General features: G+C 36.0%; 1 protein-coding gene across 5 annotated transcripts in view, besides 1 other annotated feature; it reads right to left on the bottom strand.

Annotated features, from left to right (window-relative positions):
- Window positions 1–23475, bottom strand: part of KCTD3 (potassium channel tetramerization domain containing 3) — a 54504-nt gene that overhangs the window by 26061 nt on the left and 4968 nt on the right. For 2 of the 5 annotated variants that reach the window (NM_016121.5, NM_001319294.2), the window contains exons 2-10: window positions 21908–21961; window positions 21629–21674; window positions 19773–19846; window positions 18019–18077; window positions 17666–17746; window positions 16610–16747; window positions 15748–15838; window positions 9062–9252; window positions 276–391 (exon numbers count right to left, since the gene is read on the bottom strand). In NM_016121.5, the coding sequence (NP_057205.2) occupies window positions 276–391; window positions 9062–9252; window positions 15748–15838; window positions 16610–16747; window positions 17666–17746; window positions 18019–18077; window positions 19773–19846; window positions 21629–21674; window positions 21908–21961 (850 nt within the window). Of the gene's footprint in view, window positions 1–275; window positions 392–9061; window positions 9253–15747; window positions 15839–16609; window positions 16748–17665; window positions 17819–18018; window positions 18078–19772; window positions 19847–21628; window positions 21681–21907; window positions 21962–23475 lie in introns of those variants that run through there. The other 3 variants (NM_001319295.2, XM_047422104.1, XM_005273158.3) reach the window with 3 other exon arrangements.
- Window positions 11245–12444: an enhancer, noted in NCBI's record as "CDK7 strongly-dependent group 2 enhancer chr1:215756646-215757845 (GRCh37/hg19 assembly coordinates)". NCBI's record gives its function as "activates an origin of replication core promoter dependent on BRD2, BRD4, P300/CBP, MED14 and CDK7 cofactors, with strong dependence on CDK7, by STARR-seq in HCT116 cells {active_cell/tissue: HCT116}" and the evidence as "EXISTENCE:reporter gene assay evidence [ECO:0000049][PMID:35650434]".

The following is a 23475-nucleotide window of genomic DNA, read 5'->3' as shown; positions in this document are numbered from 1 at the left end:
TGGACTACCATGCTCAAGGCATAGAACTTCGAACATTTAAAATAAATGGAGAAATGCAAAACCACAGTTTAAAAAACTCACTTATTTTCCAAAGTAACTTAAACTCTTGAAAATATGCTCAAATATGCATCTAGCAAAAAAATTTACCACTACATTTATTCAATATTTGTATAACCAAAACCAGAAACAGTACGAATTCTACAAGGAAAAAAAAAATACATAATCAGCATACATTTCAGAAATATTTTCACTTCTGTAATATGCTTTAAACTAACCTGCCAGTGCTGAGTGACAGCATTCCACACTCCCACTTTCCCTGTATGACTCGTGGCCACCAACTGGTTACCAATAAAGAAGAGAGCATCTACAGGAACACCCAGGCTGAACACTCCTTAAATGACAATAAAAAATAAAAAGGTTAATCAGTCACCATTTTTAGAATTAATCAAAACCTGGATTAAAAACATCTTAAAGGTGACTAATTTATATTCTCATTACTACAAACTATGTGCTATACGTGTTGGGGACTAGAAATAAGAAACTCACAAGCTCTTAAGCAGCTTACAGAACTACTAAAGCAAGGAAGAGTCTGCTCCAAGCCATCTCATACTGCTGTATAACACCTTATCCTGAAGCTTGGTTCCTAACCTCAGCTGATCATCAAAATAACCTGATTGATAGATTTAAAATAAACAAAACAAAACAAAAAGGATCCTGGGATCCATGCCAGACTCACTAAATCAGAAAACCCACTGTATTGTTACAAAATCCATAGGTGAGTTATATGCAGCTTGCTCATGGACCCGATATTTAAGAACTAGTGATCTGAACACACAGACTTGGCAGCCTTAACTATCTAGAATGTGTCTAAATTCTGGAAATAAGCAAAAAGGAGAAAAAAGCAGCAAGAAGTCACATGATACTAAAAACAAACATTCGGGCCTTTTACTCAGAGCTTATTTTTAAACCCCATGTGTTCCAGCACTGCAATCTCCATTTAATTAATTCAAAAGACACTATATCAGGCTTTAGGATTAAAAAACACGAGAAGACAAGACATTACTAAGAACTTACACTTTAGTAGAGAAAAAACTGCAACCAATTATAATTTGATACAATAATAACAGAAGGATGCACAGGGTATAATAGTATCTATGGGGTAAAAAGGGTATGGAAAGGGGGTTGAAAATATATCTTAGAAAAGAAGCCATCTGAGTTGGAGTTTTTAAAGGTTAATAGGAGTCCATCAAATTGGGAGACTGAATATGGGCAAGCTCAGGGAATCAGAGCAAACAGAAGAGTAAGTGTAGGTGAGAGAGGTTGTAAGCAGCACCTATCACACATCAGTAGCAAAAGACCCAGCAATGCCTAAGCAGAGAATTCTAGGCTCACCTTGGTGCGGCATATTGGCCTTATACACTTGTCTCTCTTTAGCAGAGTACTGCACTAGGAGTCAGGAGAACCAGGGTTGGGATCCTGGCTCTCAGAGTACCTTTGTTTGCCACTTTTTTGGTTCTTATCTCAACTACGAAATAGGGTCTAAGCTAAATGTTTCAATGATCACTTGAGCTTAAAAATGTTATAATCGGCCGGGCATGATGGCTCATGCCTGCAATCCCAGCACTTTGGGAGGCCAGGGCGGGTGGATCACTTGAGGTCAGGAGTTCAAGACCAGCCTGGGCAACACACTGAAACCCCATCTCTACTAAAAATACAAAAATTAGCTGGGTATGGTAGCACACGCCTGTAATCCCAGCTACTGGGGAGGCTGTGGCAGGAGAATTGCTTAAACCCACAGGCAGAGGTTACAGTGAGCCGAGACCATACCACTGCACTCCAGCCTGGGTGACAGAGCAAGACACTGTCTCAAAAAAAAAAAAAAAAAAAAAGTTGTATTCCAATTCTAGCACTTAAATAGCATTATCTTAATCATTTGAAAAACACTTTATGGGAAATATATTTTTATCTAATAATGCTGGGAAATAAGTCTCACCTCTACAATACTGTTTTATGTAGATCTTTGGCTGCTTCAAGTATCAGTTTATTTTTAAAAAGTACCTGTGCCAATACAGACAACTTCGTCAGCATTTAGCTGAGAAAAAAAATGCATGAAACCTTGAAGAACTCATGGGAAAAACAAAGCAACTAAATGCAAATATAACATGCTTTAAAAGCATAAGCCAGAAAGATTACTGATTTCTTTTGAATCTTATACTGGTGCTAGGTATTCTCTTTTTGTTCAGAACTGTACTATACTCAAGACCAGTGACAAACAACACCTTGAAAACTTTTAATCAGTCTTGTAAAAGCAAGGCATCTAGCAAGAAGACGATACATGACAAAAAGAAACCAAAACAAAAAACCTGCTAAGTATTGTTAGAAGTATCTTCTATATAAACATTTTTAATTATATGTATAAAATCCATATTTATACAAGCATGTGCATGAAACACATTATCTCAGCCCAAAAAACTAGAACAAAATAAAGTACAACACACACACACAAAGCTAAGTCCGTTGCCCAGAATTGGTTAAGAAATGAACCTGCCACTTCAAAGCATAAAGTCATTATTTTACGTTGTATACAATTTTAGGGATTCTACATAATAGTACTTTAATGATGATAACAAACAATGTGAACATGTCTTTTTAGAACATGTGAAGCCAACTATATTCAGTATTATGGGCTATGTGAAAGGCAGAAATGAAAACAGGAAAACCAACTAACATCGATTACTCCAGAGGAGGATGAGGTTCTAGGAAATCAACAAAGACACTCTGAATGGTCTCACGAAATTTAAAGTGTCACTCCTGCTTAGGCTAAACAATCCTGAGCACCAGTGACAGGGAAGACAACAGAAGTAATGACCAGTTCCTGTCTTAAGGGGCCCTCTTGGTAAAATATTGCTTATAGCAGAAACCCAGTAACTCTCGTCTTATCTAAGTTATAATGAAGGGAGTTCAGCCTCTGGGAGAGCTTTATCATGGATATACCAGCCCTAACAATTTTCTTTGGATAGTGTTGTCATGTTCTGAAGAATATTTGTTAACAACAAATGGCTCCTTTTACAGGGCATGAACAAATTACTATTGTACCAGCTCATAACATAGCTACCTATCACATTAGCCTTTGAACACCAAGCAAGTAATAAAATTTCTTTCACTTATTGGTATGTTACAAATAGCTACTTGAAAAAGGAAAAAGAAATCACAACTGATTTACCTTCTGTTTAATTACCAGTGTATTATAATTTCAAAATTTTTTATGTTAAATTTTCTTTTCTTAAAGTTGTTTGGGAGGACTTAAGCTGTCGATCACGATAGAATAAATGGCACCCGATTATTCTCCACTTTAAAACAGCAGTAACAACAAAAAAAAAAATGGACAAAATATATGAAACAACTGTTTTTAGGTATTGGACAACAGGCAGCAGAGGACCTGAGAGACAGAAACACACTGACAAGCCCCACATTCCCCCTGGCTTGCTGCATAAGAGTACTTTCTATCACAGCATAGAAAGGTGAGACCTAAGTGATACAGTTTGGTTCTGTGCCCCACCCAAATCTCATCTTGTAGCTCCTGTAGTTCCCAGGTGTTGTGAGAGGAACCCCATGGGAAATGACTGAATCATGGGGACAGGTCTTTCCTTTGTCGTTCTTGTGATAGGGAATGGATTGTCTCACAAGATCTGGTTTTAAAAACAGGAGTTTCTCTGCACAAGCTCTCTTTGCCTGCTGCCATCCACATAAGATGTGACTTGCTCCTCCTTGCCTTCTGCCATGATTGTGAGGCCTCCCCAGCCATGTGGAACTGTAAGTCCAATTAAACCTCTTTCTTTTGTGAATTTCCCAGTTTTGAGTATGTCTTTATCAGCAGTGTGAAAACGGACTAATATACCAAATAAAGACAGATGATTTCCCTGAACTGAGGAGGCGAAGAACTTGAGGCTAGAGTTAGTAGATACAGTACAAGAAGGAAGGGAACTGTGCCAGAGGGGTGGCATAAAAGTTGCATAAGCGTTTCCCTAAGACCTTGGCTAAGGCCTAACTGCACCTGGGCAGGGCAAGAATCCTCAAGGAAAGAAAGGCTGCTGGCCGGGCGCGGTGGCTCACGCCTGTAATCCCAGCACTTCGGAGGCTGAGGCGGGCGGATTACGAGGTCAAGAGATCGAGACTATCTTGGTCAAGATGGTGAAACCTGTCTCTACTAAAAATACAGAAATTAGCTGGGCGTGGTGGCATGTGCCTGTAGTCCCAGCTACTCGAGAGGCTGAGGCAGGAGAATCCCTTGAACCTGGGAGGCGGAGGTTGCAGTCAGCCATGATCACGCCACTGCACTCCAGCCTGGAGACAGAGTGAGATTCTGTCTAAGAAAGAAAGAGAAGAAAGAGAGAAAGAGAGAAGGAAGGAAGGAAGGAAGGAAGGAAGGAAGGAAGGAAGGAAGGAAGGAAGGAAGGAAAGAAGGAAGGAGAGAGAGAGAAAGAAAAGAAAGAAAGGCTGCTTTAGGACTAAGAGGTAACGGGAGATAGCTGCTTTAGGACTAAGGTAACTGGAGATATCAGATATCAGAGGTCATATGTGGGTAGATGGAGTAGTTCCAACTCAATAAAAGTAGAGAGTTCTTGCTGAGCCCCTCTGGCATTCAGTTAAATAAGATTCCAGAAAAGCAACATCTTAAAAATAAGAACTACAGCCTTGAAAAGGAGCCCTGCCCTAAAATTACAAATAAAGCTAGAAGAGGATACCTACTCCTAACAAAGTACTGAAACAAGCCTAACAGGTTCAAGATCCTTTAGTAATTTAATTGCCTGCCAGAACAAAGCTCATAACTTTTAAAGAAAGGTAACATAATTCATAACCCTACAAAATGTATCACACACAAGTACAGCACATAATCAAAACTCTCTAGACATGTGAAACAGGAAAATGTGACCCAAAATAAAAACATGGTAACCAGATATTGATATTAGCAGACAAATACTTTAACAAATTAAACAGCTGAACATAATGAACAAAAAGACAAGAAATCTTAGCAGAAGAAACAAACTAGAAAATGGAATCAAAAAGTAATACTAGAGCTAAAAAGTCCAACATTTCAGATGAAAATTCACTAGATGAACTTAACTGCAGATTGAATACTGTAGAAGTATAAAAGACATTAAAGGTAGATCAATAAAAGATATCTAAACTGAAGAATGGAGAAAAAAATGAAATAAAAAATCAGGGCTCCCACAACCCCAGGTTAATATAAAGTGATCTAGAAAGCTCAAAAGGAGGAAGAGGGAGCGAGCAAGGGAGAGATGGAGAAAAGAGGAAGGGAGACAGGTACAGGCCTCCCTCAACTGTGTCAACCAAAAATGTCTCTAGACATTTTCAAATATCCTTTGGTGGATAAGATTTCCTTGGTTGTGAAACACAAATCTAGAATATGTAAAAAACATTTACAAATAAGTAACAGGATGACAACCTCATTAAAAAGGGCAAATGATTTACAGAGACACTTCTCAAAAGAAAATATACAAACGGTCATTAAGTACAGGAAACGATGCTTAATATTATTAATCATCAGAAAAATGCAGTTAAAGCCACAATTAAAATCACTGAACCATTAAAATCCACAATAATGGCTCAAATTAAAAAGACTGACAATACAAAGTGTTGATTAGGATGTGGAGAACCTGGGACTCTCACACACTGCAAGTAAAAATGTAAAAAGGTACTTTTGGAAAACAGTTTGGCAGTTTTTCTTAACCTTAAACATACACTTTCCATATGACTAAGAAATTCCACTCCTATATATTTACCTTAAGAAAGTAAATGTCCACAGAAAGACTTCTACTTGAATGTTAACTGCAGCTTTATTCATAATATCTCCAAATTGGAAATAAGCCAAATGTCTATCAACGGGTGAATGGATAAACAAATTCTGCCGTATTATTTCAATGGAATACTACTCAGCAATAAAAAGGAACAGACAACTGATACATGCAACAACATGGATGAATTTCAAAAGCATTATGCTTAATAAAAAGCCAGGCACAAAAGAATAAATACTATATAATTCTACTCATGAAATTCTAGATAAAGGAAACCTAATCTATGGTGACAAAAAGCCTAACTGCATAAACAATGCAGTTTATGTTGGACACCTTCTTTCCTTCTGGGAATCTGGAATCTTCCCTCAACTTTATAGATCTTAATAACTTAACCTTATTGTGCTTTATGTAGCAAAACATTTTTGCATAGTATCTATCGGTTGTAGGTTCACTGAGACTGAATACCCAAGAGTTTAAACAAAAAGAAATTGGCCAGGCACAGCGACTCATGCCTGTAATCCCAGCACTTTGGAAAGCCAAGGTAGCAGGATCACTAAAGCTTAGGAATTCAAGACCTGGGCAACATAGTGAGACCCTATCTATACAGTGATTAAAAAATAATAGCCAGGCGTGGTGGTGCCTGCCTGTAGTTCTAGCTACTAAGGAGGCTGAGGTGGGGGGACTGCTTGAGTGCCTGGGCCCAGGAGGTTGAGGATGCAGTGAGCTAGGATCACATCACTGCACTCCAGCCTGTGTGACAGAGCAAGACCCTGTCTCAGAAAAAAAAGGAAAGAAAAGAAGAAAAAGAAATTAAGTATTTTAAATAAAGATGTAAAAAACTCATTTAATCCAGAAATTGTTTGGTATAGACCTTCAAACTAGAAATGAAAAATCTAATGAAGTATCTCAAAGGTAAGTTACGACATCACAGTGGCTAGAGAAGTATACCCAATTGCTGAGAGACTAATAAAGCCTTGAACAGATGACAATGCTGAATGCCTGCTAGATGAAAAGTCCATGAAGAAATAACATGGTAACTTTTCAATAATACAGTAACTCTTCAATCTAAAGATTTGGCAGAGAGTCAATCTCTTGTCTGTAGAATTGTATTTTTGCCTTGCAAACAGATGAATATATAGATGTGGCTGGACCTGGTATTTTACTTGTATCCAGCTGGTATTAGCTAGACCTGGTGTTTTACTTGTACCCATCTGGTATTAGCTCCAACTGATCATTAAAAATCCTTTATGTGAATGCATAGCTACAAACACAGGAAGTGCTGAAATAGTCAAAGTGTTGAAAACTTATATGAATTTCATGGCTTATTCTAGAACATCTGTGTTGACATTTACACTGATGATGCAAAGCAACGTTTGGTAAAAACAGCAGGTACCTTACTTAGCACAAACCAGGACAGTGGCACTAAACTTTACTAGTGACCATTGCATTCTTCTCTGCCATAGACTTTCAAGAACATAAAAGGCCAAATCAAAGATTTAAAGATTAAATTAAAGATTTGGCCTTTTATGTTCCCGAAAGTCTGTGGCAGAGAATGTAATGGTCTTAGTAACTAAAGAATGTCCTTGATGAAGCAGTAAAAATTTGTACTGATAAAAACTTAATTTCAACTATATATCTTAATATTCTGTATGACTAAGTACTATGGCTATGTCAAGGAAAAGCACCTTCACAAATGCTGGAGCAAAGAGCTACAGGAGCTGCTCTGTTCATTAAGTACCATTTTAATTTGAGATGACTATGGTTATTCAGAATTGGGTGTTTGGCAGAACTATCCTCAAAAAATAAACAAAGTAAGCCTGTTATCTAAAGGAAAACCACTGATGTTATTTGTTGCCAATGATAAAAATTCAACGTTTCAAGTGAAAATCTGCAGTTTGGAAAACTTTTATCTGCCACAGTGAGTGTGACAACTCCCTCACACGTAGTCAGCAGGGATACCAATGAATGCAATTTTTTTTCATATTATACAATGAAAGGTATCAACATTTGGTAGATCTACATAACTCAGCAAACCAACAATTTCCAAATGCCCAACATCTTATAAAAGCATGTATGATAAAAGATCCACTCAAAGTACAAAATAGTCTGATGGATTTTAATTTAACAGAATATGAAAAGTTCACTGATATGATTTTAGAGTTTTGATAAAGAATCAAAGAAGACTATGCACAATTTTCTGAAAAGACTGAAAAAAGTTTTTTCCAACTACATATCTGTGTAAGATCAAGTTTTCTTCATATACTTCAATCAAAACAATGTATCACAGCAGATTGAATGCAGAAATAGATATCACAGTTCAAAAAGAGATTTACAAAACTGTAAACCAATGCCATTCTTCTCACACATTTTTGGAAAATGAGGTTCTCATTAAAAATGTTACTTAAGTTATGCAATGGATTATTATAACTATATTAACATTTATAAAAATTTCCATTTTAATTTCTAATATAGTAAATACTGATAGAAAATAACCTACAGAAAGGCCGGGCATGGTGGCTCACGCCTGTAATTCCAGCACTTTGGGAGGCCGAGGTGGGCGGATCACAAGATCAGGAGATCGAGACCATCCTGGCTAACATGGTGAAACCCATCTCTATTAAAAACACAAAAAAATTAGCTGGACGTGGTGGCATGTGCCTGTAGTCCCAGCTACTTGGGAGGCTGAGGCAGGAGAATTGCTTGAGCCCAGGAGGCAGAGGTTGCAGTGAGCTGAGATCATGCCATTGCACTACAGCCTGGGCGACAGAGCGAGACTCAGTCTCAAAAAAAAAAAAAAGGAAAAAAAAGAAAATAACCTACATTCTTTCAGGTCCTGAGTAACTTTTTAAGAGGATTAAGGGGTTCTGAAACCAAAAAGTTTGGGAATGTCTGGTCTAGAAGCAACAATGAGGAGCAAGAAAGTGACTTACCCCACATTCAGGTTCAGTAGTTTGAGAGGGGTGGAGAGAAAACAGTGAAAACATCCACCACTAAGTGGGATTCAGGAAAAGCAATATTTTCATAGAGCAGCCAGGTTTCACTTAAAGTGGTGAAAAGATGTTCCCCATGTCTTTTCTAAAACATCATTTTTCCTTCATTATCAGATCATTCCTCCCACATTAAATACTGTGACAGCTCTAGCTAACTGACAGTCCAGGTTAATTTTCATATTCAGTGTCAATCTCTTTTATAAACTTCAAAATATTAATATCATCAAATTGCAACATAAACAAGATTCTTCCTACCAATTTCACTTCCACTTCCCCCATCCTGAACACTCCACAAGATGATGCTACTCTCTGAGGCAACAGCAACCATTTTGTCTTTGTCTCCATGTGGCCCTCCAACCACCTTTGCATTTAAAGCTACTCGTTCGATAGTCCAATCCAAATATGGGCTCGTAAACACTTGCTGCCATCCTGAAGATTCTTTGATTCTGTTAAGGAAGAACAGGCACATAAGGTAGACTCAGCAGCAATGAAGCAAACGGAATACACATCAATGCACCAAAAACAAAAAACAACAACAAAAAACAAAAAAAAAACTAAACAGTTACCCATCCACCTTCCTATTACAAATAAAATTTTGTTGATCTATATTGCCTATGAAGCCACAATATTATCCTTGGGGTATTGTATACTTGCATACATAGCACATATAACGACTTGAAAGAGACTACAGTTCTATATTTCCCCAAAGAATAATTTAGTAAAGTCCTCCAAATTTTAAAAAATTTCAGAAACTTTAAAAAAAGATAGTTTTATCTTTCATGTTTCTCTACACACACGCACACACACACAAATGATACTGTCATCTTCTGTGAGTATGAACAATCAGCAAAAATCTGAATTTCAGAATTATTATTCCTTTCAGTTATTAATCAGCTTTTCAGGGTTTATTAACTGAAATGACACATACTGAATCTCTTGCTTTTTGTACTTCAGATGGACAGTCTATCCAGAAACACTGAGTGTATCACATGCATTCCAATACATTAGCACTATTATATAAAAAAGGATAGGGTGCAGGATATCCTCTGAAGACTAGTTTTTAAAGGTCTAAATGCAAAACTCTATGGAACTACAGTTCCATATGACTACCCATATGTAAAAGCTAATGTATTCTTTAATACCTAATTTCTCTAATAAATATCCTGTCAGTTTTTAATAATTCTTTCTGCCCTATCTGAATTTAGGTTTTAAAGAAATGTTTTCTATGCGATTATATGTATAGCAGCCTTCATACATTTAGAGCTTTAGCAGTTACGTAATCATAATAATGAATGAGTTGAACTATGAAGTATCTATTTTTAAACTCAACAAATAATGCAAACATAACTATAAAATTTCTCTTTTGGCTTACCTAAAGAGAATATAGAAGATGAAGGAAAAGAAGCGTTCTTTTGCACACTACCTGACATTCGCTGCAAAAAGCAAACTTAGGTATTCATAAATGATGGTCACCTAAGGGCCTAAATAAAAATACATCAACTTCATTTTCCCTTAAATATGTATGCCAAGTAATACAACTGTAATTCATAAGAATATACAATTGAGCATATTAATTTGAAGAACTAATGATTTCCCTAAACTTCAAAGCAATAGAGAAAAATGTATCAATTTTTCCTAAGCATTGTGTAATTTGTAACCACCCTCTTCAGCCACCAGATGGGATTCATTTGTTAAGATAAACAAATGAAAATACTTAAATACTTACCTAATAAACACTAAAATTTGCTGACATTCTCTTATTCTTTTACTTTCTTAATGAACTTGCTTTCACTTTACTCTAAGGACTCACCCTGAATTCTTTCTTGTGAGAGATCCAAGAACTCTTTTTTGGGGGTCTGGATGAGGACCCCTTTCCAGTAACATCTTCCTGGGAAACCATGAAATGAGATAGTGGAGAGACCCCCAACCCAAAGGAAATAGACTGCAGCACCAATTAGCTGACTTTGGAGTCAAGAACACTTTTCTTTCGAGATTTTGCAGCTTTTAACAACTGAGTAAAGTATACTCTTATAAACAAAATTTGGAGCATATTTCTTTCTCTCTATCTGATTTCTCCAGAATTTGGAAACTATTTGTGAGTATTCTTAACTTACAGCAATATGTAACTACAATAAGAATCTGTTTTCTTTTGTAACAGGACACAATTGGAGAAACTGGTTATTTTACCAAGACTTTGACTGGAATAGCATGCTTTCAGATATGGACTTGTTTAAGGAATCAAATTTGACTCATAGAGCTGATAAAAGCCCCTGGGAAAAACTGGCCACATATCTTGTCTACACGGTCCCTGTACAAGGTTTCTGACCTGTCTGGGGTAAGTAAAGAAAGTCACTTTCTGACAGGCCCAAAAGCCCCAAGTTATCATGAAACCTCAAAAGGAAAGAAACTTACCCAACTCATACAGGTATTTGCAGGCAATGATAAACCCATGGCAAGGCTCAAGGCTTTAAGAAGTCTCATTTGAGATTCTTTATGGATCAAAGTTCTATCAAAGTCAATTTAAAAAGAGCCTATATAGGAACTAATTATTCTTGCTGCACTTTATACAAATAATCAGGCCAAGTATAATAAGACTAAAGCTTATTTTGCAAACAAATCAGTCCTACCATGATTTCTTTAGTAAAAATGAAAGACTGAAAATAGGAAAATTGTTTCAAAAACTATGGTATGCTTTTTATTAGATTTGTCTCATCAGTAGTTTTTGAGTTCTTTCTGCAATTTGGACTCATCCTGCTTATCCTTGTGGACCAAGCAGTGATCTGTGGCTGCTGTTCAGAAGAAACAAGAGGCATGGGTAACACAGAAATCTGGATCAGTATTCTAATTGTGGGCATGTATTGGAATTGGCTAGCACATCAGCTTGGTTCCAACTCCATATCAGCTTGGTTACAACAATTTCCCAGTTCATGAAAAGCCTTCTTATTTAGTTTACTTGGGATAATTTTACTTATTTTGCCTTGTTATTGTAGAATATACTGCTGTTGTTCTCTTTGTGTAGGAATGCAAGATAAGCTTACTCAGTGCTTTCTTAAATCGAACACTTATTAATTTTTCAGTCATCACTTTTTGTCAGAAATCAGAGTTCTCACCATACTGACAGTTTCTAACTGAGCTCTCCTCTACTCTGAATGCAGAAGACCCTAATAGGCAGAAATACCATCATCCCTATTCAGACTGCAGAAGTTACAGAAGATGAATCTTCCTCCCTCTGAAACCCTTAGGATTAAGAGTACCCTTGTAAAAGGGAAGGGGAAAACATGTCAGAGGTGTTCAAACCAGAGTTGAATGGGGACTGAGTAAAATAAGGCTGAGACCTGCTGGGCTGCATTCCCAGGAGGTTAGGCATTCTTAGTCACAGCGTAACAAGGAAGGTCAGCACAAGGTAAAGGTCACAAAGATCCCGCTGACAAAACAGGACGGAGTAAAGAAGCCAGCCAAAACTGAAACCAAGATGGCAACAAAAGTGACCTCTGGTCGTCCTCACTGCTCATTATACGCTAATTATAATGCATTATCATGCTAAAAGACACTCTCACCAGCCCCATGATAGTTTACAAATGACATCTAATGTCTGGAAGTTACCCTATATGGTCTAAAAAGGGGAGGAACATTCAGTTCTGGGAATTGCCTGCTCCTTTCTGAAACACTCATGAATAATCCACCCCTTATTTAGTATATAATCAAGAAATAACTGTAAGTATACTCAGTCAAGCAGCCCTCAGGGCTGCTCTGGCTATGGAGTAGCCATTCTTTTATTCCTTTACTTTCTTAATAAACTTGGATTCACTTAAAAAAAAAAACTATATAATCTCATCTTTTACAGACATATTACTTCTAAGTTGTTTTTCTCTATAGTAATTAGGGTATTACACAATAAAGAGATGTCAAAAAAGGATAAAAGAATCAGGACAGCATATTTAAAAATAACTATAACAACTACAGAATTTAACTCTTAATAAGATATGTGAATTTACCTGTTTTTTAAAAAATTACAAAGAAGGTACATATTTGCTCTATAACTTTCCATACAAGTAATACATTTAAAATATGTAGAACAAGGCCAGGCACAGTGGCTCACGCCTGGAATCCCAGCACTTTGGAAGGCTGAGGCGGGTGAATCACTTGAGATCAGGAGTTTGAAAACAGTCTGGCCAACATGGTGAAACCCCGTCTCTACTAAAAATACAAAAATTGGCCAGGTGTGGTGGTGCACACCTGTAGTCCCAGCTACTCAGGAGGCTGAGGTGGGAGAATTGCTTGAACCCAGGAGGCAGGTGTTGCAGTGACCCGAGATCACGCCACTGCACTCTAGCCTGGGTGACAGTGCAAGACTCTGTCTCAAAATCTCAAAAACAAAACAAAACAAAAAATATATAATAATAAATAAAACAAAATATAAAACAAGAATATGCTCTGTTATTTCACCTCTCCATCATCTTACTGCTGCCTAGTGAACCAACCCTCTGGTTAAGACAGCTATGCGAAGAATAGAGTTACGTCTAGTTATTTCCTACATGAAGACCTCAATAAAATACAGTAGAGAGGACATGCCCTGTGAGATTTTGAAACTTATTATGAACATACTTCACCTCAAGTTGTATGAGAATAGACATATGTCTTAAGGAAATGAGAGAACTGAAAAACAGATCCAAGTATATACACACACATAAAGCAAGATAAAATGGGCTATCAGATTCACTGACAAAGAATGATTTACGTAATAAATTGTCAGAACATAATTACCTACCCACTGAGAAGAAAATAAATCCTTAAATCTCATACCACATACAAAAAAGTAAACTCCACAAGGATTAAAGATCTAAAGTGGAATATAAGCCCCAAGGGGGCAGCAATTCACACAACTACTCTTCGTTAATAGAAGTAACACTGTCATAAACTCAGCAAGAAAAAGGGACATAAACATAAAACCTAACCATGTAGAAAATTAGTGAAGCTAGGAGAACATCATACAGGTCTTCACTGTACTACTCTTTTTTTAAAGGTTTTGTAACTTACTGATACAAAAACTTGAGGAAAAATAACTTGTAAAAAAGATTACACTTTTAAACAGTTTAAATATTTTTCTTTCTTTTGAAATCTTTTTATTGCCATTGTGTTGAATGATTTAACTATATGTGAGGAAATCCAAATATGTCCTCAATTGTCTTCCTTCGTCACTTTACATGAGTATATTGCTCTGAAATGTCAGACACTTGGTGAAAGCACAGAAAGATCGTGATCAATGCAAACGCAAAGACTGGAAAATGTAATAGCATCATCCTCCATACAATTATTACCCAGTGAGTTAAATTTTGCGTAATAATGTGGTGGTTCTGGAAAAGAGCAATCTTTAGTATTGTGTACAGTAACAAAACGGAAGTTATGCTGTTACACTTGGATCACTTATCATTTCACAATTCTTCTGGAATTCCTTATTGACAAAAATATGTACATAATATGTAAACAAGGGTCTACAAGTCACCTCAATTCAAATATATAAGATGATAAATTCAAAACAATGCTTCCTAAAAAAAAATTACTTTACCAAATTAGTCTTGCCTCATACAAAACCATCCCCAAAGAAATTATGCAAAAAACAATTTCCATGCTATTTCATAATTAAAATTACAAATCCACAAAACACTTTTTTTAAAAATTTGTTTATTTATTTATTGAGACAGAGTCTTGCTCTGTTGCGCAGGTTGGAGTACAATGGTGAGCTATCAGCTCACTGCAACCCCCACCTCCTGGGTTCAAGTGATTCTCCTGCCTCAGCCTCCCGAGTAGCTGGGATTACAGGCATGCATCACCACACCTGGCTAATTTTTGTATCTTCAGTAGAGATGGGGTTTCACCATGTTGGTCGGGCTGATCTTGAACTCCACCCATCTCGGCCTCCCAAAGTGCTGGGATTACAGGCGTGACCCACCGTGCCCAGCCAAAACACTCTTAAAACATAAAAGTCTGCACTTAATCATTACTACAAGGAAAATATAAACCTGAGATTACTGATATAAACAGCACTTACCAGACATGCCAAACCTTTCATAAATTCAGATTTTTAAAAAAAAAATACATCTGGGATTCTTTAAACTATATCTGTAAACTTTAGAAGACATTTTAGATATTTTTCAGCTTATTGTGACTATTTTTCTTAACCGAACTCAACAGTGATAAACAAATAGTTTATGTATCTTTGATTTTTCTGCAATTAAATGAAATAATAATCTAAGCTAGTATATTCCAACCACTTTTGTGCTTCTACACCATTCTCTGTCATCAACATTTCTCAATGAGTACAGTGATTTTGAACTAAGAGTCCTATCACTTTCCCAATTAAAAAAAAAAAAATCACCGGTCTACACTATTCTTCATTGCTTCTCAGGCTCTGAGAATGTAAGCATTAGTAAAACCAAACTACTTCTTTGTAAGTTTCACATATTAGATATTAAACTATACCACTTGTGCAATAACTGTCCTGCTTTACTACCTCACTTCCCAAAATGTGGTATTTATGACCAATGTACTCTCCCTTGCTATAGAATACAAAACACTGAATCATTAGAGATAGACCATCAGGGAGCTCACATTAATAATCCTGTCTAACATCATTATATACTACAGTCTCAGAAGCTAGGTATAAGCAATAAATAATACATCAGGATATCTCAGTTACATGACAATTCACACTTGTCTGCTAAATGTTTACAACAGATAAAGGCTATCAGAAACATTTACCAAATTAGCTGTGAAAATAAAAGTACACTAAATCTTAATCAGATGATACAGACATGGGTAAAATATGCAGGGAAAAAACTTGATGACTAAAAAAAAATAGCTTTTCAATCTAAAAATATAAAATCACAATTAATTTTCAAACTGCCACCTGTAAAAGCAAAGCATTATTAATTATACACTACCTGTAACACACAGCAAAATGGGCATATGCAGCTACAATCCAGTTGTGATGGCCAGCTACTATTAGCACCTTTCGTGGATCCACAGGAAATCCTGTTGATTTTGGAAAAAGAAATATTTTACATTCTAAACCGGGGGTTGGCAAATTACAGCCACCAGGCCAGTTTCAGCCTTCTGCCTGTTTTGGTTAATAGTTTTGTTAAGAGCCGGGCACAGTGGCTCACACCTGTAATCCCAGCACTTTGGGAGGCCGAGGCGGGCGGATCATGAGGTCAGGGGATCGAGACCATACTGGCTAACACGGTGAAACCTCATCTCTATTAAAAATACAAAAAATTAGTCTGGCATGGTGGCGGCCGCCTGTAGTCCCAGCTACTCCGGAGGCTGAGGCAGGAGAATGGCGTAAACCCAGGAGGCAGAGCTTGCAGTGAGCCAAGATGGCACCACTGCACTCCAGCCTGAGCGACAGAGCGAGACTCCGTCTCAAAAAAAAAAAAAAAAATAGTTTTGTTAGAACCCAGCCATGCTTACTTGTTACATATTGTCCATTATGTGTTCATGCTACAATGGCAAAGTTGAGTAGGTCTGACAGAGAACACGTGGCCCACAAAGCCTAAAATATTTAATCTCTGGCTCTTACCAGATAAATTTTGGCAACCCTGTTCTAAAGATTCAGAGAAGATAGAAGATTACACAACATTTTAAATAAAAATTAAGTGTTAAATGAGACCTTTCCAAGATATAAATGATAAATCTGGATAAAAAAGGAGATGAGGCAAAAATCTTTAAAAGTAATTACTCAATATCACCCAGCACTAAAAACATACGTATTTTTCTTTTTCTATTTCTGTAATCTTTGCTTACCTAGCCTAACAGTTTCTTCTCCCGTTCCAGAGAGAACAGGCTGTGTACCATTTCCCCGGGCTTCACCTTCTGTAGAATTTAGACCATTCCTAGAATCAGCAGATCTGACTGTGTTGTTTATTTTACGACTAGGAATACCTATAAAGAGAAGAAGAAAACAAATACATTCCTAAGTTCACCTTTCAAAAATTAAAAATATCACATTGTGACAAAGAAACAAAAATGTGAATTTCATTAAAGCCGAAATACATCTTCCAATATAGCAAATTATTACAAATAATTTAATTACAATTAAAAAATAAAATGAAAATGAAAAAAACAAAGACAAAGACAAAATTCTGTCAACAGATTTCTGGTATTGTCATACTGTTTACAATAAATAAGCTTTAGGTTACTGAATTAATGGGTAATTAATTCAGTCTGCCAGCCACTCTTTACAATTATGGTACAGGTATTATGTGTTAGGTACTATGTAATAATTTAACTGCTTTAGAACTGAAATTCCCCATACTTTCAAACATTTTTTATTTGACAGGGGAACATTTTTTAAAATGAAATCTTGCTCAGAAGTCCATTATAACACAGGTAAAATCAGGCTCTTCTAACTAAAGTGGGGCTGAGGTGACACTGACTTATCTCTGCAGAATTCCTTAAATTTTGCAAAAAAGCAGTTTGACAACCAGTGCTCTAACATATGGGTCAGCAAACTATGGGCCATGGAAAATCCAGCCCAATCAATGCTATTTATGTAAATAAAGTTGTAGTGGTTACAGTTAAACCTAGTCTTCATGTAGTATACACAGCGGAGTTAAGTGGCTGTCACAGAGATCCTCTGGCTCACAAAATCTATCTGGCTCTTTACAGAAAAAGTTTGCCAAACCCCTGCTCCAATATATAATGTGACTTAATTTCTATAAAAATCAAAAGTTCTTACCATTTCTAATAGATTTATAGACAAAAAACTCAATAATCAAGGAGCAGTTTTTCCTATTCATATGCTTGTACTTGCTTAATGATACAAGGAATTTTTTAAAAGATTTAATAAAGTGAAAATACCTGGTGGGGGCAAGTAACCATGAAAAAGGACACTGCCACAAGAGGAACGCTCCAATTCTTCACATAAGAGAAGCCTTCTTACTAAAAACATTTCAAAGCAAACTTGTCAAGAGTACATGCAAACAGAAAAACAGTACTCCATTTTTATTTTCTCTAGTTCAAGAGGATAAGGAAAGAAAAGGAAAATTTTAATTAAGTCAGAGTTGACAACATCTTTTTACTATGAAAATCCACAAAAACTAAGCACTGAACAAGTCCATCAAAAATTAGGACCTGATATAAACACATTTCATTTAGGGCAACTTTCATACATGAGTCAAATCATAAACACCAAATATTAAAAGAGCACATACCTAATGGAGTGATCCCGTAAAATTCTGCTTCATGCCTGAGAACATTAATACTCACTCCCCTACAAAGAAACAAATGATGTAAATTCTCTAACACTGGAAACCTGTATTATCATCTGACATGAAAGGAAAAAATTCTAGGTTCTTCATGTATATAGTCATAAGGCTTTAAAAATTATTTTCCTCCTAATACTCTTTATTTCTATTATCCTTAATCATTAAAAAGTGTAAATAAAAACTGCATGTGAACAAAAATATTCTGTTATCTACTTAAAAACCATTCATATATATACATATATATGAATTGGGTCACTAAAGGAGAGATTAGGGCTCTATCAGGCTAGTACAAATAAATTGTCTAGAAGGCAAACGATAGAATGGAAACCATTCTTTTATGGCATTAGTTGCTTTTAACTTTTTATCGCAATTATTTCTATACATATCTATCTTAATCTCCCCAATTACACTATAAATTCCCTGCGAGCATGATCTATTTCTGATCTATGTTTGTATACCTCACAGTGCCTAGCATAGTGCTTGTATAAAATAGTTATGTAATAAATATTTGTTGAACAAATAAAATAGAAAAAAAAAAAAGACTAGCCTTGGGAAGGGCTATGTTATCCAGATGAAATGATGCTACTTCATAGTAGTAAAGTTAAGTAACATGAAATAAAATTTTTAAAAAATGGAAGATTCAGAACTTATAATACTAATAATTCATCTTAGGTTTCAGTTGTAATTTGTCCTTATTTTAAAAATATTCCCCAGCCTTGATAAATATATACAATTACTATGTTAAATTGTTTTTATTTGTGAAACTGGTTATGACTAGTTTAACATTAAAAATGCTTAAAACTTTGTGTCTGGGGGCGGTGGCTCACACCTGTAATCCCAGCACTTTGGGAGGCCAAGGCGGGTGGATTACGAGGTGAGGAGATGGAGACCATCATGACTAAAACGGTGAAACCCCATCTCTACTAAAAATACAAAAAAATTAGCCGGGTGTGGTGGCGGGTGCCTGTAGTCCCAGCTACTTGGGAGGCTAAGGCAGGAGAATGGCGTGAACCCGGGAGGTGGAGATTGCAGTGAGTCTGGGTGACAGAGTAAGACTCAGTCTCAAAAAAAAAAAGCTTCAAACTTTCTTATTCTATTTCGAAACTATTTGTGTTAACAGTACAGCAGTACTGGCCAGAGGCATGATCATAACTCACTGCAGCCTCAAACTCCCGGCCTCAAGGGATCCTCCTGCCTCAGCTTCTTCTCTAGAGTAGCTGGGATTATAGGCGTGTACCACCACATCCAGTTTCAGTGTGAGGAAACTTTTAATCAAAGTCTTAGTAAAAAAAAAAAAACCTTTTCTGGCTGGGCGTAGTGGCTCATTCCTGTAATCCCTGCACTTTGGGAGGCTAAGGCGGGGAGACTGCCTGAGCTCAGGCGTTTGCAATCAGCCTGGGCAACACAGTGAAACCCCTTCTCTACTAAAATACAAAAAATCAGCCGGGCATGGTGGCATGTGCCTACAGTCCCAGCTACTCGGGAGGCTGAGGCAGGAGAATTGTTTGAACCTGAAAGGCGGAGGTTGCAGTGAGCAGAGATCATGCCACTGCACTCCTGCACTCCAGCCTGGGCAACAGAGCAAGACTGCAACTCAAGGAAAAAAAAAAACAAACAAAAAAAACCTTTTATTTCATAAAACATATTAAAAACACATATTTATCAGTAAGAATTTACTTTAAAAAGAGTGCATTTCTTACCTTAAGTCTAGTTCTTTTGTCCGAAGAAAATTTAAAATGGGTGCAAATGCTGCTGGATCTCTATCAATAAATATCTGTAAAAAAGAGAACAGTTTTATTTTCAAATTACAAATTAATCTTTTAACTTTAATATCTGTAACACTAATAGGGAATGAAGTCTTAATTACTTAAATACTACATTTCCTTGTTTCCACTCTTAAACTTTAATGTTTCTAAAATTGGAATGTAGTCTGTGTGCATTTCATGAGATGGTGTCTTTTTCTTGAGATGGTGTCTTTTTCTTCCTCTGAATAGTTATTATTAAACTGATATTTTAATACATAGAAAAAATCTTGTCTAATAAAATCACTTGTATTGATACCTTTGGTAAAAGTGACACCTGAGGAAACATTTTTATCTGAAACAGTCTAGAATTCAATTAATACTTCGAAAACATGAATAAATAATACTTTCTTATACTGTTCAATCATTAAAACTACAATGTACTTTAATAATGCACACAGGGGTACTTGAGAAAAGTAAATACTGCACACTGCTGTCAAAAGTGGAAAAGAATACTATTCTCATAATACTTTTACTAATCTCAATTTCCTTCAGAGCTGGGGAAAGGTAATGACAATTTTTTTTTTTTAAACTAAAGCACCACAGAATACATAAGAGGAAAACAAATTGCTTAAAAATGTAAAATACATAATTGGTAACTTTTGTTTGTTTGTTTGTTTTGAGACAGCATCCTGCTCTCTCATCTAGGCTGGAGTGCAGTGGCACGATCTGGGCTCACTGCAACCTCCACCTCCTAAGTTCAAGCAATTCTCCTGCCTCAGCCTCCTGAGTAGCTGGGATTAGAGGCACCTGCCACTATGCCGGGTTAATTTTTCTGTTTTTAGTAGAGAGGGGGTTTCACCATGTTGGCCATGCTGGTCTTGAACTTCTGACCTCAGGTAATCCACTTGCCTCGACCTCCTAAAGTGCTGGAATTACAGGCATAAGCCACCCCACCCAGCCCATAATTGATAACTTTTTATGGAAATTTATACCAACACCTATTTTGAATCATTTACAAAAGATCTGGCCATAAAAACGGAACATCTTTTAAAGCTTATGTAAATCAATTAGAAAGGGAAATGGCAGCCAGTAATAAAACTCTTCCTACTATGATCAACTATATATATACAATCAATGAGATTCTTCTAAGCTTTATAAATTTTCTTTTGTTTTCATTAGAGCACATCAAAAATCGAAGAGACATCACAGATTTGTGGAGATCTTATTATTGATAACTTTTTATAATTTCACATGGACATATCTGCATTTGTTGCCTTATTTCATCTGCAAATCTCACCACAGCAAATAAATACCATTGGTCACTTTGTTGCCTCCAAATGGATAAACCAATTTTTTTGCACTGAAACTTTACAATTCTTTCCTTCCCTCACTGTACCAATGCTGTATAAACAAATTCGCAAGGTTATTCTCCAAAATAAAATAAAAAACTGTAGGAGTTTACTAATTTAACCTCTTATATTCTAATATAAAAATATTAGAATATTTACATTTATCCACTTACTGTTAAAGTTTCAATTATTGATCTAAAAAAATTTCTTCTAATGCCAATGTAAGCTCATATCCTACAATCTCTCTAATCATGAATACTTAAATTGCCATATATAGTATTCCCTACTTAGGGATCTTCTCTGATTATAAAAAACTACATATGACAAGAAATAAAATTATGCCACTTTCATTCAGTGATTATTAAAATATCAGTTCTCCTATATTCTTAGAGTAACTATATGTTAGGACCAAGCACTATAAGCATTAATTTAGGAATATGTATCAATTATTATTATACTCACAGCACCAGTTTCATCTCGAAGTGTTGAAATTCTCCCACTCAGCAAACTGGAAGTCATTAATAATCTAAAGTTAGTTTTTAAAATCTGAGTATAAACAAATGTGCTAATTCTTTACCAAATGTTAAAGACCACTAAAAGTAAGTTATCTATCTTCCAAGTTCAAAAATATATAATTTTAAGAGTTAACCTTTTTTATTAAAAAAAATTTAACTGACAAACATTATTATATTTTGGTAAATAAATGTATTAAAATATACACTAAAGAATTATAAGACATACCTGGAAAAAAAAGAATCTGGAATCCACATAAGAGTTTGTCTTGAGGTACTAAATCTGCAATTAAAAATCATCTGGTATTATAAGTGAGAACATGATTTGAAATTTCAGTATTAGTTAACTTGTTTTAATACACTGGCTAATGATTTACAAGATGTTTTATAGTTATAGCTGTACCAATATATTTATTACAGTTAATATTTTTAAACGTTGCTACTTTCAATTCAGAGTTAAGATTATACAAGCAGCTCTCAATAACAATAAACAACTTGTTATCCGCCATATAATGCATCTTAAAACACTACTTTCCAATAAGCTAATCTCTGCTGAAGAATCAACAATTAGCCCATCACACCAAGTCTCAACTTCTCAGTATAACATTCAAAATTACCTTCAGGTTCCATCTCATCTCTCCAGTACAAATGCTGGTTTTCCCCTCTAATAGGACAAAACTTCTTCATATCCCCAAAAAATTCATGCTTACTACCATTTTGGTATCTTTATTCAGCTAGATCACTCTCTTCATGTCCAATAATTCAAGATCCGTCCATCTTTCTTGATACCACTCAGGTTTTACCTTCCCTGTAATAGTTTTTCTAAATATCCAATCCTGTATTATCTCTTTTTAAGCTCATAGTAATTTCACTGTAAATTACTCATTTAACACCTTCTTTATAGGCAGTCTTGGGCTATCTGCAACTGCTGACTTCATTCATTCAAAAATCATTCAGCCAAATACATCACTGTTCTGAGGTTGTCATTTGATCAAGCTTGTATATTACCAAGGGAGGATCTTTACCAAAGTACAGTATAATAGACTGGGACAACAAACCAATAATTTATGTAAACTGATATGGCAAACAAAGCAATATAGTACTTGTTCAGTCCAGCCCTTCTCTGAGTATTTTCATTTTAAGATATCACCTTGAACTACAATGTTATCTCACCCAGCCTAGCAAACCTCTACTTTCACTCCACATTTATTTTCTGGCATTATATGAAATCCCTAAATTTATTTTTACCTTTCATACTTAAACTAAACAAGGTGACTGAATAGTGGCACTAGTTACCATGCACTATCACCAGGAAACACAGGCCAAACCCCAGCCAAAATGGCTAAGGGATGTTTCCCAGGCTGTGCATGTATACACTGTATCATCCATCTATTGTCTGCCATTACCTAAATTAGCAGCCTGGAATTATCAAAAACGTGGAAGTTGCTTACTTTTTTTTATTATGCTCACTGCAGCATAACAAACCTCAAAATACATCCTACTTCCCATTCCCATCTTCTAAGTGGGCTATTAAATAGCACTGGATTGCAGGCCAGGGTGACTGTGACTACCAAGGCTTATACAGAGTAGTGTCAGAAGTCTCACAGATCTCTCAACTTTGCAAGTCCATCCAGGCACCTGAGGCAACAATGGCTCATAATATTTTACATATCTTGATAAATGGATTATCTGTAAATTCACTTTTCAAACTCAGTTTCAGAAATGGATTTTGTATTAAAAAAGTAGATGTTGTTTTTTCTTAAAGCCAGAGAGGACCACCTAAAAGCATTGTTCTTA

This window comes from Homo sapiens, chromosome 1, assembly GCF_000001405.40.
Source record: "Homo sapiens chromosome 1, GRCh38.p14 Primary Assembly".
NCBI lineage: Eukaryota > Metazoa > Chordata > Mammalia > Primates > Hominidae > Homo > Homo sapiens.
This window is presented reverse-complemented; position numbering and strand designations above follow the sequence as displayed.